The sequence below is a fragment of the Homo sapiens genome, chromosome 6 (genome assembly GCF_000001405.40).
Source record: "Homo sapiens chromosome 6, GRCh38.p14 Primary Assembly".
Classification (NCBI taxonomy): Eukaryota; Metazoa; Chordata; class Mammalia; order Primates; family Hominidae; genus Homo; species Homo sapiens.
Window position 1 is genome coordinate 41458218 of NC_000006.12, and position 17830 is coordinate 41476047.

The 17830-nt window shown below is 51.4% G+C and overlaps 1 long non-coding RNA gene across 1 annotated transcript in view, besides 1 other annotated feature; it reads right to left on the bottom strand.

The window, feature by feature from the left end:
* Positions 1 to 17830, bottom strand: part of LOC112267957 (uncharacterized) — a 52113-nt gene that overhangs the window by 5329 nt on the left and 28954 nt on the right. The gene's annotated exons all lie outside the window — the stretch shown is intronic.
* Positions 12057 to 12708: an enhancer, noted in NCBI's record as "H3K4me1 hESC enhancer chr6:41438012-41438663 (GRCh37/hg19 assembly coordinates)". NCBI's record gives its function as "activates a minimal SCP1, AML or CMV promoter by ChIP-STARR-seq in primed H9 embryonic stem cells {active_cell/tissue: H9 hESC(primed)}" and the evidence as "EXISTENCE:reporter gene assay evidence [ECO:0000049][PMID:30033119]".

Sequence of the window (17830 nt, forward strand, 5' to 3'; positions counted from 1 at the left end):
GGGTGGAGTGTTGAAGGGAAGGGTTTCCCAGGCTCGGAATGGGTGTCAGCCTGGCTGGGAGTGGGGTTCCGCTGGGGAGCAGGATGACCTGTTTTGGAGAAGGGGGAAGAGGCCTGGCACCTTGCTTCTCACTGCAGACCCCCTATGCCTCTTAGAAACCCACCTCTGTCCATGCCTGCCCTGCTTTGGACAGGGGCCTCATCCTCTCCCCTGAATGCCTACACAGCTTCCTTCCTGGTCTTTCTGCCTCCAGCTTTCCTCAGCTCTAACCCACTCTCAACAGCCCATGGAATCTTCCAGAAACACAAATATAACCATGTCACTGCTCTCCTCTGCCTTTTCCATAGAAAAATGCCACACTGGCCTTGGTCTCATCCTGTTCCTCTTTTCCACCAGCATCTTATGCACCAGGCATATGGAACTCAAGTTTCCCAAATGCATGGGGCCCTTCCATGTCACTGCACTTTGCATTTACTCTGCCCTGTATTTGGAAATCCTTCCTGAAGGGTCTCATTCATTCACAAACACTTAATGAACACCTACTGTGTGCCTGACACTGTTCTGAACCCTGGGAACAAAACAGACAAAAATCCTTGTCCTCATGGAGTTTTATATCATGGTGAGGGATAGAGACTAAAACAAAACAAAGAAGTCACCCCTCATATCCACATCTGCATCGTGGATTCAACCAAACATAGACAGAAAATGTAGTTAAGCTTCCAATGGTTGCACCTGTACTGAACATGTATAGACTTTTTTCTTGTTATTATTCCCTAAACAATACAACAACTATTTACATAGCATTTATATTGTATTAGTTATCATAAGTAATCTAAAGATGATTTAAAGTATATGGGAGGATGTGCACAGGTTATGTAGAAATACTATGCCATTTTATATAGGGGACCTGAGGTGCCTGGATTTTGGTATCAGCGAGGAGTCCTGCCCCATGGATGACTATAATACACAACAGTAGGTGCTACCGAGCGCTATGGCCGAAACTGCAGCACGGAAGGCAGGATGAATAGGGCCTTGAGGCCACTGTGATAATTCTGAGTGAAATGGGGAACCATTAGAGGATGCTAAGCAGAGAATGACATGATCTCTCTTAGGTTTTAGGATAATCCCTCTGGCTATCATGTGTGGATAAACTGAAGGGGGACAGATGGGGGCAAGGAGACTAGCAAGCCACACCCTGCTTGTCCTTCAAAGCTCAAGAATGGGCTGGGCATGGTGACTCACACCTGTAATCCCAGCACTTTGGGAGGCTGAGGCAGGCGGATCACCTGAGGTCAAGAGTTCGAGACCAGCCTGGCCCAACATGGTGAAACCCCATCTTTACTAAAGATACAGAAATTAGCCAGGCATGGTGGAGGGCACCTGTAATCCCAGCTACTCAGGAGGCTGAGGCAAGACAATGGCTTGAACCCGGGAAGGGGAGGTTGCAGTGAGCTGAGATCACGCCATTGCACTCCAGCCTGGGTGACAGAGTGAGATCTGTTTCAAGAAAAAATAAATTCATCTAAAAAAAAGCTCAAGAATGATCCCTTGTCTGAGTGAGGCTGCTCCGTCCTGGTCCCTGGATCACCCTTTGCTTACTTATGGACAGCCCTGGCCACACCCTACCATGACTATCTTCATCTCCTCCCTATCTGCACTGTGATCTCTGTTACCCTGGCCCACTACCTGCCCCAGAGCAAACACTCAAGCCCACTGGGAGAATGCATTAGGAATGACTGTCTATGTGACCTATAGGTCCTCTCTGCATTCCCAAAGCGGTGTCACTTCACTGTGACCTGGAGGGGAAAACAGTACAACTAGCTCATTTGAAAAAAAGGGTAAGTGAGTTCTGGGGAGCATTGATAAAGCTCAGTTTCACTGATCTGAAACAGGTGCCTTAGAGTTCCCACTTCCCCACATCTGTCTCTAGCTCAGTGTCCACCTTCTCCAGCCCCAGCCGCCTGGGAGATTCCTGGGGGTAGCCAGGTATGAGAAGGCACCTCCTCCACTGCTTCCTGTTCTCATTTAGGGTGGTCCCTGCTGGCCTTCAGGCCTGGCATTGCCTCCCACTCTGACTCCCTCCCACAGCCTGCCCATCTCCCCTCCCAGGGCTCTGAGGAGGACAGGAGCCCTGCAGAGCAACGATCCACATATCAGGAGCAAGGGAATTAACATTTCCAGGCTGTAATTATACCTTCTGCTGGTGACACCTAAGGAAGCATCTTTTTATAAAAGCAGGTAAATTGAAGGCTTATGGGACTGTGGAAAATGGGTGTATTTTTAGCTCCCTCCCCTCACCACCCTTGATTGCCAGAACCCTGGTAATTGCTCTGGCACCAGTGGTTGGAACCAAGGTGGAGGTCTCAGAGTGGGGTCAAGGGGTCATTGAGAAGGGGATCCAGGAGGCACTGAGAACCTTGCTAAGCCAAGTGGGAACCTAGGAAAGGGGCCTGGGGAAATGCTCTCTGATAGGGAATTACGGGGAAGAGTCGTTCGTGAGCAGGTGGAGAGTACATTTTAAAAATTATATATAGCAATAGTAATAATAGTAACAATAACAATAATAGTAATGATATCTGACCCTTACATCATACTTGTTAAGTGCTAGGCAGTGTTCTAAATGCTTTTTGTAAATTAACTCATTAATCCTCACAACAATCATGTGAAGTAGGCACAGCTATTATCCCCATTTTGCAGATGAGAAAACCAAGGCATACAAAATTTAAGTGTAATTTTGAGTTAGACATTGGAGTTACATATGTGCATCTCTACACACACACAAGTTTGCTGATTTTAATGGGTGAATGAATGAATTCCCTCACTTTGTATTCCCCAGATATTTACAAAGAGGTCTAAAGCTTAGCCAATCAAAAAGCTCTGAACAGTTAGGAAGTCCCTCCCTTTTAAGGTGGGGTCTGATCCCACTTCCTGTTCTCCTCTTAAGATCTTGACATCCCACTGGTGCAAAGTCAACCATCTTGGTTAGTGGGCAGCCCCACCATGTTCTTAAGCACAGAACAGTGGAGCAAGAGGCTGTGATGAGATGCTTTAGGAGCTGACAGCAGGAGCCCTGGAGCTTGCAGGATCTCTGGCCATTTAGGGAACTAGCTGGAAAAGTGGATCTGCTGATATCAGAGAAAATGTGTGGGGAGAGGAGAAGAAGGATGAAATAGGGTCTCCCTAGATGTTGTCCAGTGGTAGCTGCTATCTAGGGACACCCCTTCTTCAAGCAAGGACATCAGCGTAGAAAAGGCTCCAGAGAGGGAGAGGCGGGGAGAAAATGTGATTTTTAATGCAAGCCTCAGTAATCAGCTATTTGTGATGGAATTTTATCTGTCCTGGTCTCTAAGGGACAAGAAGCGGGAGTGAGGGAAGAGGGGTCAGAAATTAGTATGCAGAAATATCTGATCAGCCAAAGTAATTTTCTTTAATAATCGTATTCATACTGCCTGCTCTCTGCTCACAAGAAGAATTAAGTATTTAATAGTAATATATTTCATCTGGCAGTGGTTCCGTTTCGTTAGGAACTGTGATGCCTCGTTGGGGTATGTGGTGGGTGGAGGTCTGTGTGAGGGACAGGTAGGAGATGGCAAAGCAAAAAGAATAGATAAGCAAGCAGGAGGGAAATGGGCATGGGAGGGCAGAAAAGGAACTAGAGGGAAGCCATGTGCCAGGGCGAGCCCAGCACCCCTCTGAGATGCCACTCAAGTGCTTTCATTGCCTGAGCTGGGCTGTGAACTCTGTCCTCTGGCTTTAGTTGATATGCCCCAAAGGCCCCTACTTCTGACCCAATTCCTCAAGCTTTATCCCCAACCTCCAAAGATAGGTTCTCTTTTCTAACCTCTGGTCTTCCAGCCCTGACACCCTCTCCCAAAGACTCATAGAGGAGCTGGTTGGCTAGTCCTTCTGTGGTAGCATTACACGGTGAACTGTGGACCATGCTCTAACCCCTATAGCTAAGCTGCCAGAGCTCTGTGGGCAGATTCCTGGGGCTGCTTCCATGTATTTCCCAGGCCAGAGGTGAGCACGCAGTTCCTGGCTCATACCGGAGCAGGGTGGATACAGAAAGAAGCAGCAGCTTGCACCGGCTGGAGAAGCTGACAGCTGCCTCTCTGCCCCAGGGCTGCAGAAGCAGTGTGTTTTAGCTATGGCATGACTTAATAGTTAAAAAGCAGGCCCAGCACATGCCAAGGACATAGCTGGTCACACTGGGCACTCAGGCATTCAACCTCCACTGGAGGCACTTGGAGAGGCTCTTTGCCTTCTCTGCTTCCCAGAGCTCAGGTGCCTCAATGGAAAACAGCAAGAAAGGTGCAACCACATTTGCCAATGAGATGGAGACAGAGAGAGGGCTCAGCTGCAGATAGCAGAGTTCAGTTTCTTGCCACTCTTTTAAAAGCAAACTCCACCAACTGATGTGCAGTGAGGCTGGCATTTCCAGGCGCCTGACAGGCTGGAATTAAACACCTGTCCGTTAAACTGACAGCCCCTGGAAGGAAAGTGAGGGAAAGAGAAGGTAGAGGGGGAGAGCTGGAAACCCAACAGCAGGCCGGCTCCTTCCTTGTAGGAGGCATTGTGTGTGCCCAAGAGAGAGTCCAGGATCAGAGTAAGCGGCACCTCTGGGTCCCTGCCCTCTGGTTTCTGAGGGAGCGTGTAGGCAGGCCCACAACAAACTAATACTCAGACCTGGACATTAGGGATAGAGAAGGAGGCCGGGCCAAGGAGAAGCTGAGAGGCTTACCATCATTTGCTCAAAGCTCCAGCTCAAAGGCTAGTTGCACCCTGACAGCCTCCCTGCTCTCTCCTTCCTCACCCACATACACAACATCTTAACTGCTCTGAACCCTTCAGGCACATGCCAGGCACTAGGCAACCCGTCCTGAACTTCCCTGAGACACCTCTTGGGCTGTTGTTTAACATTTGAATGGGTCGGTCCTGGCTCCCCAACTCCCCAGCGTAAGCTCCTAGGGAGAAGGAAGCTTGTCTTTGACTTCAAAGATGCTCCCCTACAGTCTTCAGTGCATCCTAGTGGGTGGGGCCAGTGTGGGGTGATAGGTTTACAGATGGATGGGAATCATGGGTAAATGAACAGATGGATGAGTGGATGGATGCAACACTGATCACTAGGTGCTGTATGTCACTGTGCCGAGGCTGGTTGTTAAAGTTAGTAAGTAGTCGTTGCCCCTAACCAGGGAAGGCCAACCTCCAACCATCTGGGACTTGCTGGACCTCATACCATTCAGCAAGTAAACATTAGCACCCCGCCCAGCAGGGGGCCTCAGGCCCCTGCTCCATTGCTATGACCAGCGTCCATTCTTATTGGTCAGTATACGGGATTATTATTTTAACCAACACTCCTGAGTGGGCAGATGAACAGAGGCCAGGACTGAATGTGAAATTAGATGATTTTAGGGAAGGAAGAACTGGAAGGAAGTAGGTAGGAACTTGTGACAAGCCAACTCGCTTGTCAGGTGAGTGGGTTTTTGTTTCTCACACTCAACCATGACCTTGGGCTATTTAGTAGAACTCTGAGCCTCAGTCTGCTCACCTCTCAAGTGAGAACAGTATCTGCCTTGCCCACTTTAGAGGGTGGTCGTGCCTGGTTGGAATCTGTCCCTCGCTCCTCTAGGCATTATTCTTTGCTCTGCACGTGCCCGTTTCTCTAATAGATAATGAGCTCTTTGCAAACAAGGATGCAGTATAAAACATCTTTATATCCCAGAGCGTGCTTGGTAAATGTTGGTTGAATGGATGAATGCAGGAGTAATGAATGAGTGAATGAAAAAAAGAGCAGACTCTGAAAAGTATAGCAGGAGAGAGTAGGGTGCACATGGGGGAAGTTGTTGTAAGATGGATGGGAGGTGGAGAGGGGGAAGACCAGGGAGGGGCACTGCCCAGTATCAGAAGGGATCTTCTCGCACCCTTGATCAACTCCTCATGTGCCTCCTTCACTACCCTGGTGATGCCCAAGTTTTGGGAGCATGAGGCCAGCATATGTCCTCGTGGGAGAGTGGGCCCCTGAAGGCAGATCCTAGTGTGGGTAGCGCTGCTTCATCCAGCTTCCCAGGGTGCACCACTGCAGTCTCTGTGAGCTCCAGGTATGAAACTCAGGGTTGTCCAATGAAGGGAGAGGGGAAGCACCAGAAGACAAGACAGGGAACCAGAAAGGCTAGAGGAGAAGACCAAGGCTGGAGGAGCTGAGGAGCACACCGACCTTGACTTCAAACCTTGCCCTCCCTCCCCTCACTCTAGTGGTACCATCAACGCATCCCTTCTCAGATCCCCAGCCTGGCTGGCTGCCCCTTCCCAAGTCTCTCTCTGGGCTCCCCTCTTTCTCATATCCAGGGCCTATTTGGAAGGCCAGGGCTCTGTCTCCAAATCCTGCCCCACACTCTGGAATCATCCCTGGGTGATCTCAGCCTCCTCCCAGCTCAGTACACATGATTCAGCGCTTAATTATTTCCTATGGAATAGGATTCGCCGTTTGCTCATGTGCGCATGTGCTGTACGTGAGGGTGCTCTTCCATGTACCCACCACCCACCCATGGCCACAGGAGTTACAGCTGGTCTCTCTGGCAAGGCCACTATTCTTTTTCTTCTCTCTTAGAAAGGAGGTCTTGGCCGGGCACAGTGGCTCATGCCTGTAATTCCAACACTTTGGGAGGCTGAGGCAGGCGGATCATGAGGTCAAGAGATCGAGACCATCCTGGCCAATGTGGTGAAACCCTGTCTCTATTAAAAATACAAAAAATTAGCTGGGCATGGTGGCGCACGCCTGTAGTCCCAGCTACTCAGGAGGCTGAGGCAGGAGGATCGCTTGAACCCCAGAGGTGGAGGTTGCAGTGAGCCGAGATGGTGCCACTGCACCCTAGCCTGGCGACAGAACAAGACTCCGTCTCAAAAAAAAGGTGGGGGGGTCTCACTCTATCACCCAGGCTGGAGTGCAGTGCTGCAATCATAGAATTATATCTCACTGTAGCCTCGAACTCCTGGGTTCAAGTGATCCTTCTGCCTCAGCCTCCCAAGTAGCTGGGACTACAGTGCCACCACAGGCCAGAATTCTTTTGTTTAGGGCTTCCAGTAAGAAGAAAGCTGCCACAAGTAGGGGCTGGGGAGTAGCTTGCTGGGCAAGCTGCCCCCCTTTAAAGGGTTATTTTGAGAATTTGAGGACAGGGGTGTGAAAGCACGTTATAAACTTAAGTGATCTGAAAATCCACAGGAGCATTAGAATTATTCTTGGTATCATGATCATGATCATTATTGGTTTAGGTGTAGCTGACAAAGCAGGAAGGGGCAACAGCCAGATCTTATTAAGGTTCTGCTATAGATCAGAGTGATAATGTGCAGACTTCTAGGGAAGAAAAATTCTTTGCCATCTGTTTGTGTTACAACAGATCTTTCTGGGGATTTGCCACCCCACCCCCTCCCTGCCCCTTGGAACCCATCCTGAGCCCCTTCAGAACTCAGCGTGGGCACCACTCTTCACATTCAGCCATCCACTGTCTCCAACTCTTCTCAGCCCCCTTTTCTATATCTCATCTCCTCAGCCAGACTGTACATTTCCCCAGACTGTACATTTCCCCAGACTGTACATTTCCCAGACTGTACATTTCCGCAAACTGTATGTTTCCCAGACTGCACATTTCCCCGACTGCACATTTCCCCAGACTGTACATTTCCCAGACTGTACATTTCCCCAGACTGTACATTTCCCTAGACTGTACATTTCCCAGACCGTACATTTCCCCAGACTGTACATTTCCCAGACTGTACATTTCCCTAGACTGTACATTCCCCAGACTGTACATTTCCCCAGGCTGTACATTTCCCAGACTGTACATTTCCCTAGACTATACATTTCCCAGACTGTACATTTCCCAGACTGTACATTTCCAGACTGTACATTTCTCTCTAGAGCACTTAGCACTGTGGGGGAACACAAAATGTGAAGGAAAAGAAAAGGAGAAGGGGGCCGGGTGTGGTGGCTCACACCTGTAATTCCAGTACTTTGGAAGGCCGAGGTGGGCGGATCATCTGAGGTCGGGAGTTCGAGACCAGCCTGACCAACATGAAGAAACCCCGTCTCTACTAAAACTACAAACATTAGCCAGGCATGGTGGCGCATGCCTGTAATCCCAGCTACTCGGGAGGCTGAGGCAGGAGAATCGCTTGAGCTTGGGAAACAAGAGTAAAACTCCGTCTCAAAAAAAAAAAAAGAAGAAGGGAAAGGAGAGGCAGATGGGGATGAAGAGAGGGAGATAGGAATGGAGAGATGGAGAGAGGAGAAAGAAAGAAAAAAAGGGGAAGAAAGGAAGGAAGGAAGAGAGGGAAGAAGGAGGAAGGGAGGAAAGGGAGGAGGGAAAGGAGAAGGAGATAGGGATAGAAGGAAGGCAGAAGGAAGGAGAGAGGAAGGAAGGATGAAGGAAAAGGGGGAAGGAAGGAAGGAAGAGAAGGGGGGAGGAAGGAGGAAGGGAGGGAAGGAAAGGATAGCACTGGATTTGCATCCAGTCTTGGATCTACCACTCTCACAAATTTGAGTGTCCTTCACCAAGTTGCCCAACCTCTTATTACTCAACAACCTCAAGCTGCTTCAGTTTCCCCATCTACTAATGAATCTTCCGGTACCTTCTGCCAAGAGTCAGAGAACCAGAGACTCCCAGACCCCATTTCTAGCCAACCACTTTCTCCAACCAGACCTGCCTACACAGGGAGCCGGCTCCCTAATGTTCAATTTCTGGACCCCTGGGTCCTCCCCTCCCCTCCCCACTGGCCCCCACCCATATCCTCACAGGGGCGCCCAGCTCCAAGCCTGTGTTTGTGAGCTCACAAGGAACCACGGGACACGGGCCTTTCTCTCTGCCGTAATGAAACCCTTTAATCATATTCAAATAGGTTACTGTTCAGGGGGAAAATAGAAATATGGATTTGATAGCAATAAATTTCCCTGGCTGGCTAAGCCCAGTTCTTAATTGTCCTGTCCCAGGGCTCGCACATTTCATTGTTCGTTAGGTGCTTAAGTCCCCACTCTCATTTTGTGGCGGTGACATTACCGTTGATGGCTCTAATACTCTCATAATTTGAAAGGGGATTTGCATGATAGAACGCAGAGTATTAAAAGAAAAAGAAAAAAGGGAGAGAGAAAAATGGTGGGGGCAAGATGGGAGGAGGAGCTCGGAAGGGAAGGGGGGCAGCATGCGGGGGAGGGGGCGGATGAGGAACTCAATCCAGCTTTCACTTTAAAAAAGTCACTTTCTTCAAAGTCAAATCATTGTTTTCATTAAAGTAAAAAAAAAAAAAAAAAAAGGAAGAAAGAAAAAAGCCAAGGCTGCACATTGGGCTGACTGGGCACTGGTCTTCTCCGTATTGTTCCTAATGGTTATTAATTATTATTATCCGGCTGTGCAGGGCTCTGTGGACGTGATGTCCCCAATGTCCTTGGGGTGGAGCTGGGGGGGGCGGGCGTCAGGGGAGGGGCTGACTCTGGATGGGGAGGTTTGCTTCTGGGCCACAAGAGGATGCAGATGCCCACCTTGTGGCAGGAGCCAGTCGGAGCCCAGCTCTAGGGAGGTGGAGGCGACAGGGGACGCTTTCCTAGAAAGCAGGCCTCTGTGGGAGGAATCGAAGGCTCCTGGGTCCTGGCCAACTCTTCTTGGGCTTCCTAGAAGTTTCTTCTTTTAACAACCAGTGATTTAGGCATAACCAGCCTTGCTAGATACAAGACAGTTCAGGTCACTGATGGGGTTTTCCGAGTCCCTTTTGCAAACCGGCTTCCTCACCTTCCCTGCTGCCCCAGTCCAGAACCGAATAGGGCCTCACACAAGTTTTGTGGATTCCCAAAAGGGCTTCACTTCACTCTGTCACTGGGCACAATGGGTCAGTGAATGCTGTGGCCGAGCTGCCCTTTCTTCCTGGCTGGTTGGGGCTGGGGGTGTGTCTCAGGGTCCCAGTGACATTTTGCCTTCTACTTAGCATCTTTCTATATAGTGCCAGAAGTTCTAGAAATCACAGCAGCCCTGGGTTTCTGGGGCGTGGCGGAGGGCCAATGCAGCTTTCCTTGAGGTGATGGGTCTGTGCTCCAAGTAAGGCCGCTCCAGGGGAGTCATGAGTTCCCTCAGCCTGGAGAGGATAGGTAGCTTGGCCTGTGTGGACAAAGTAGCATGGATGTGCGGGGAGCGCTGCAGAGAGCAGGGCATGGCATGCAGCATGTGTGTTCTGGACTGTGAGTTGGTGCAGAGTATCGCCTGTCTGCATGGGCTCCTACCCTCCATGCAGCTCCCACCATACCCCCTGGTGTGGTCACTTTCTAATCATCACCCTACTGGCCTGCACCCTTGAACCGTCTTCCCTGGGACAGGGCTGGGCCCCACAGAGAGCAGTGGCCAGAGCCACCCTGTATCGTCAGGATGTCCCCCACCTGCACGGCACCCCTTGTGCTTCTGCCAGGTTGATGCCCCTTCTGGCCGCTCCCTTACCCCCTCCACTTCCTGGGGACTCTGTTCTGGATTAGAATTTTAAAGCGAATAAATTCTGGGGTTGAAATAAAAGCTGTCTACAGAGAGCCTGCTCACATTTCTCCTTCTCCCTCTCTTTTGCCTGCTTCGGGAAGTGGGAATGCTGGAAAGGCGTGGTCTCAGGTCCTCCACAGTCTGCATGCACGCATGTGCCCCTCGGCCCTCACAGGCAGTCTTTTTCTATCTGCTGCCCCTCCCTACTGACCACTCCTCACTCTGAGCCCAGGACCACCACCAGGATGCCCAGTTCCTAGGCATGGGTCTGGAATTGGCTTCCCCGGAGAGTTGCCATTGCTCAGCCCCCCACAACTGCAGAAATCTAGATTATCGCCCATTTAATGAAGCTGAAGTTGCAGGGTAAGGGAGAAAGGAATAAAGAAAAAGTGGGAGGTTATGGAGAAGAAACCTAGGCCTGCGCAGGAAAACAAATGGTCTTTCTTAGATGCTGAAGCCCTAGGTGCCAACACAGTGCTTTTTTCTGTAGGGATCCAGGTGGAGGGTGGACAAGTGGCAGCCCTGTCCTCATCTCTGCCTCCACACAAGGGTGGCAGGCCCTGCCTCTTCCCCAACCTGGGAGTGATGGAAGGCCACAGACCCAGCCCCTCCGCTCCCCAGCCTGACTGCTGGATTCATAACATTTCCGACATGAGCAGTCTTCAGAGGTGCTGTCTGAAGCCACCGGGAAACAAACTTGGCGGCCCCCCCACTACCCCACCCCAGAGACCCCCAAGGAGAAGCTGTCTCTAGGAAAGGGGGTGGGGGGGAAAGCAGAGAGACAAAGTGATTCTTAAACATTTTCCTTCTCTGCAGTCACTCAGGGAGGAGGGGGTGAGGGGTGAGGGAGGCTGGAAGGGGGGCCAAAGGGGGCTTAATAGGCTCCGGTGACAGCACAGTGTCCACATTGGGAAAAGATTAATGACGAAAATTAATCGCCTGACCTTTCTTTCCAGGAGCTGGAGGTGAGGCGGGCCATTAAAGCCTCTTATGTTGTAATTAACGTTGGAGGGGAGAAGAGAGCTGCCTTCAGAATGGATGTGATCATTTAATTAGGCTTAGGCGTAGGTGCCACAACAGGTCCGGAGAAGTCATAATTTAACTACAGCTTTAAATTACACAGGCAGAGTGGGGATGGCAGAGTTTGACGGCAGGAGAGCCTGCCTCGGAGCTCGGGGAAACAATTAGATAAACATCCCGAGTGAGTGAGAGAGCCGGTCAGAGACAGACAGACAGACAAAGCGGTAGGCGCTGACAGTGAGAAAGGTGGGGAAGAGGCAAGGAAGGGGGTGGTGCGAAGGGCGGCGAAGAGGGGCAACCGTAGGAGTCCCTGAGCGAGAAGAAAAGTGAGATCCCCAAGAGTGAGCGGCGGCCTGAGGAAGAGGGGTGTGTGTGTGTGTGTGTGCGCGCGCGCGCGCGCGCGTGTGTGTGTGTGTGAGCGCGCGCACGTTTCTGGGGCGAGTGCCTCTGGGCACCCTCAACAGCCCCAGCCGGAGGTGCAGACTGCATTCTTCAAACATTCTTCAAACACACCCGACCTTCCAGAACGTGCAAAGACACTGAGCTGAGAAGGCGGTGAGGGCCAGGCATTGCATTGGTCCTCGCCTTCTCGGGGCGCCGCTCCCCACGCAGTCTCCCTGCTCGAGCTCGGGAAGAGGAGACACCTTCCTTTCCCACCCTGGAGAGTCTGGTGGTCCCCGAGCGCCCCGCCCCACCCGCGCCCTCAGGGACGGCCAGGGCCGGGCCGCGCGTCCTAGGCACCCGGAGCGAGCTGCTAAGCCGGACTGGACGGCGGGAGCCATCTGGGCCAGCGCGGGGGCCGGGGAAGTTCAAGGCCCGGGCACTGCGCAGCGCCGAGGGGGATGACCCGCCGTCTCCGGGGCGCCAGCGCCGGCTAGTTGCTCAACCTGCTGGATTAGTCACTCGGCGGGACCCGCGGGACCGTCGGAAAAACGCGAAGGGAGCGCTAACGCGCAGTGGGAGGGAAGGAGAGGACTGAAGAGAGACGGGGGAGGGGAGAGGAGGGGTCGGCTGCCAGGCCTAGGTGGGGTGAATCCGCAGCTGGGCTGACTCAAGCGGAGGAGCCGGAAGGACACCCCGCGAGGCTTCGGGGCGCGCTTTTAGGGAGGCGCCGCCTCCAGCTTTGTGCCAGAAAGTGGGGGTTGCGGCTCAGGCTTGAATCCAAGAAAGGCTCCGGGTGGAACTCCTGGGCACCCTGGGTCCTTACTCTGCCTTCAGGCGCTGGCCACCGTTGGGACTTCCTGGGCCCCAAGGGACTTTGATGATCTCACCGTCCCCTCCTACTCTAGCCCATGCCAAAGCCACTGTGAGCTGGAGGGACGCTGGGAGAATAGAGGGAAGAGAGAGAGGCCAAGGGATGGAGTTGTGGAGGTGGGGTAGGAAGCGCCGGGCAGACCCCTGCTGCTGTCAACACTGAGGCCTAACCTGTGGACGGCACCCACCATTTGGGTTGGAAGAAACCCAACCCAAATGTGGATTGGATTGGAGTTATGGATGCGGGGGAAGACAGAGACCCCGCACCCCCAACTTCCCACTCATTTACTAGCCCCCACCCACAGATAATCAAGTAAGAGCCTGCCTCCTGCCCCTCCCCCACAGAAAAAACACAAAAGCCACCAAACGGTCGCTGGAAGGACACTCTTTTCTTCTGAAGCAGGGCAGTTTCTTCATTTTGATTAAACATCCACACATTTCCAAATTAGTGAATCTCTTCTCAGTTGGAGCTTGGTCCCTGCCTTGCTGGTTGATTGACTGATTGACTGCTTGATTGATTGCCTAATGAGTCTCTTTGGTCTCTCCTAGGGCTCAGACGTCTGTCCTAAGAATGTCCAGCCTGCACTGGGGATAAAGGAGGAGCTGTAGCCTCAAGAGAGACAGATAGGGGTGGGACTGGGTGGAGGTGCTGGGTGCCAGATAGGGGATAGGGCTCTGCTCCTTGACCAGGGCTCAGGCTGGCCCAGAAGGCTTGGGGTCACGTCTGGATTGTGCCCCCGGGCTGCCTTTGCCGTGTTGACTGTCCACAGAGCCCAAACACCCAGACCCAGAACTCCTGAGACCCTGACCTAAGTCAGATGGGGACGCAAAGGCCACTTAGCACCTGGAAGGCCAGATGGGGAGTACGGAGAAAAAGTGGGAAGCAGGGGGTGGGGTGAGGAGGCAGGGAGTGGGGAGGGGGGAGTTGGTGAATAGAGATGAATGGGAGCGGGAAGCCTGGACCAGTCTACGGCTCCCTTAGTTGAGATTAGCAGGGAGAACCCCTGCCTCTCACCTCACTAAGTGGGACTGTGCATCCCTCACAGAGAATCCCAGCTCCTAGGAGACTGCTTTCATCGTTTAGATGTTCCCTTTCTCTCTCAACAAACATGTGCACTCAGGGACCTGCCTTGGGAGGGACCCTGGGACCCCTGCCTTTGCCATTTCATTTGCAATAAAATCTGAACTGGTAAGAGCCTGCCAAACTGCCCTGGGCCCCACCTCTCCAACTCAGTCTCATTTCCCTCTTCCCCTCTTCATTGGCTCCAGACACATCCCTGGCCTTCTTTCTTCCCCCCACCTACAATTTAAGCTCCAAGAGTGCCAGCCTAGGCTGTCAGGTTCACCAGCTACTCTGCAGTGCCTAGAATGGTGCTGGCCCATAGTAACCACCCAGCAAACATTTGCTGACTAAATGAGTGTCTTATAGTTCTCTTTCTGTAAGTCCCCCCTCCACCCCAACAGGGCTTGGCACACAAAGAAGCCCCTCACCGTATGGCCCTCTGATATCCTGCTTTAGCTTTTCCTTCTGTTTATAAAGCTTCCTTCTCTGCAGAGACAGGAGTTGAGTATTTTGCGGGGACGGTCTCATACAGAGGTCACAAATTACCCTACAGCAAAAACCAACAGTCCACTTGGGATCTCCAACCCATAACGGCCAAGATAGTGGGCTCAGCCAGGAAGTGCAGGGGCTCACCTGGCCAGCAAGAGCCCTATCCCATCCTATCCAAGGCCCTGCCAGTGAATTCCTAGGAAATAGAGGAGGAAAAAGCAATTAGAGGAATCAGCTTTTCAGAATGGACAGCAGGGTTAGCCCCCTCAGAAGAGATGAATGAGGTATCGCCTCATTCCAGGGGCCCTGCCTGGAGGAATTTGGTTGGGAGGAGTCCGAGAGTGGAGGAGGGATGGAGGGGTCCGCCTCTCCGTGTGAACAGCCTAGGCCTCCGCTGGCCTGTTTGTTTTTGTCTGACTGTTTGTTGGATGGGGGCAGGGGAGATAAAGATGTGGAAACAACCTTAAAATAACCTCCACAATTCCCTAGGCGCTGTCAGGACTAGGCGCTTGGGTCTATCTTGGGGCTTGCAGACTTGTATTGTGGCTGTGGGGGATGGGGTTGTGGGCCGATTCTGGCGTGTGTGTGTGTGTGTGTGTGTGTGTGTGTGTGTGTCTGTCTGTCTGTCTGTCTGCATGGATACACTGCTCTTGCCCTGATCCTTCTCCCCTACTTGCTCCCCTGTGTGCTCTGGGTGAGCTGGCATTGATTTCAGTCCCCTCAGCTGACACTAGCAGGAATGAATAATCTGGTGACTTGAGTTAGGAGGCAGGGCCTCAAGAAGACATGGCAACTGCATAAATCCTGAAGATGCGGGGCTCAGGTGGGCCCCACAGAGCACTGGGGTCACTCCCTAGGAGTTATGACTCTTTAATTCACTTACCTCCTTCTCCTCTTTCACCCCTGGCCAGTTGCATCAGCTGCAGAAGGCTTAACCCTACCTCTGTGCCCTGGGGAAGGGTGGGCACTGGGCCTTACCTGCAGAGTGGGATGGAGGCAGTGTGATCCCAAGACTCTTTTTCTCAGGCCCCAACTCTCCTGCCCTCCTCTCCTGCACTCCCATCCAGGTGCCTCCTTCCTCCTCCCCACCCAAGTAGGCATTCATGGCCAAGCCATAAAAACAGGTTTCTGGCCAGCCACCTTGGTGCACACCTGTAACCCTAGCACTTTGGGAGGCCAAGGCGGGAGGATCGCTTGAGCTCAGGAGTTTGAGACAAGCCTGGCAACATAGCGAAACCCCATCTCTACAAATAATACAAAAAATTAGTCAGGCATGGTGGCACATGCCTGTACTCCCACTATTGGGAGGCTGAGGTTGGAGGATCATCTGAGCCCAGGAGGTTGAGAAGGCTGCAGTGAGCCATGTTTGTGCCACTGCACTCCAGCCTGGGCAACAAAGTGAGACCCTGTCTCAAAAAAAAAAAAAAAAAAAAAAAAAAAGGTTTCTCTCTCACTTATGATTACCCCAGCTTGGGTACTTCTTCTACTTCTTCACACTGTTTAGGGGAATAAGAACCCAGGCATAGGAATCCACAAGGAGGCTTAAGTTAATCCACCCCTCCATATCTAGGCCTATGTCCCACGGACCTAGATAAAAGTGCAGGGTGAGGAACATTTGTCTTAAAATCTACTCCCTCCCCTTTTGTGTTTTTTGAGATGGGGGGTCTCACTCTGTCGCCCAAGCTAAAATGCAGTGGCTCAATCATGATCGAGCCTCCATGGCTCACATGATCTTCCTGCCTCAGCCTCCAGAGTACCTGGGACTATGGGAACATACCGCCACGCCCGGCTAATTTTAAATTTTTTTTGTAGAAATGGGATCTTGCTGTGTTGCCCAGGCTGGTCTCAAACTCCTTGGTTCAAGCGATCCTCCTGCTCCACCTCCAAAACTGCTGGGATTACAGGAGTGAGCCACTGTGCCCAGCCCCACCCGCTTTAATTTCCCTTCTCTGGCTCTTGCTCAACCTGGTTTTAAGCCCCCACTCTGCCACCAGCCTAGCTCTGCCAGCCTGACCTTGAGCAAAACCTTCCCTTCTGCCTGTTGCCTGTAACACCACCCAGCCAAGGTCTTTAACTTTTGGTCGGGTGGTAGCATCTCCCTAAAGGAGTGTCTGAGTTTTAAGAGGGACTTTTTAACCCCCATGTTTTAGTCATTAGATAGATGTGTGAGTGTGGGGGGAATTTCTGAAGAGGGACTTTCTAATGGATGCCCCCTTGCCCACTCAGAAGGCTCCTTTAAGCAACAGAGATGCCCTTTAACTTTCAGAAGGATGTTAGTCTCTGCCATCATCACCCCAAACCCAAAATAGTTGATGTTGGAATTTTTAGATGTTTCTGAACTCAGGGAGACTGGGCCCCAAACTGCCAAATATAAAATAATTTTCCAGTCAAACTTTAAAAGAGCATATTATTCATTCCTTTAGACATTAAACATTCATTGAGCACCTGCTGTATGCAAAGCACTGGGCACCCACACTAAGATGAAAACCAAGATAAGTAAGACAGCATGTAGATTCTAGCTGCCTGGTTGAGAGGTTACAGTCAGAAAGTCCTTATAGCCATTCAGTGACATACAGATAGGGATAGGAGAGGAAATGGGGTGAGCACAGGGAAGGGATAAGTATAGGGTCAGGGCTACCACCCTTCTTTTCCCCATGACCCCATGGGGGCAAATATGTCCTGTCTCTTCCTGGGTGGGTGATGTTCACTGCCCCTTTCTCCATTCCAATTGGAACTTCTAGATTGAGCCCGAAGCTAGACTTGCAGATCACAATTTTAAGAAAGTTGGATGTTCTGCAACAGGTTACACAGGAGCTATCATTGAGTCATCTTTTCGTTCACCCAATCATTTATTCATTCATTCATTCAACAAGTATTTCCCAAGCACCAATTCCATCCTCAACAAAAGACTCCTAAATCACAGGCCAGATGAAAGACGTCACTATTCACTTGGAAAAATTCAGCTGATTATGATCCTGGTCGGAGTGTACTCAGCGTCCCATGAGAGACACGGACCTATAGGGCTGCAGGAGCTCAGCAGAGGGAGCTGGCACCACAGTGGGGGGCATCGAGGAAAGCTTCCTTGGGGAGGTGGTACTTCAGTTACCTTTCGAAGGATAGGTATGACTGATATAGACTGAGTAAAGGGGGAAAACTTTGGCTTTCAATAAGAAGAAGGATAGGAAGGGAAAACTGCACATTAAGTTAGGCAAGTGGGAGTGAGAGGGAATGCTACATTTTGTGGGATGCTGAATGGACTGGTTTGACTGGAATCGAATTGTTGGAATGGGGCTGGAGAGGTAGGTGGATAGAGACCTGCTTGGAGATGGTGATGACCTTGAGGCTGTATTAGTCAGTTCTTACCACAGTAGTGCTGCTTAGCAAATCAAATGAACACTACTATGGCTTACAACAAGCCTTTGTCTTCTCACTCACGGACTTTGGGTTGGGCTCCAGACTGCTCCACGTTCTCCTTGAGCCAGCATGGCAATCACAGAAA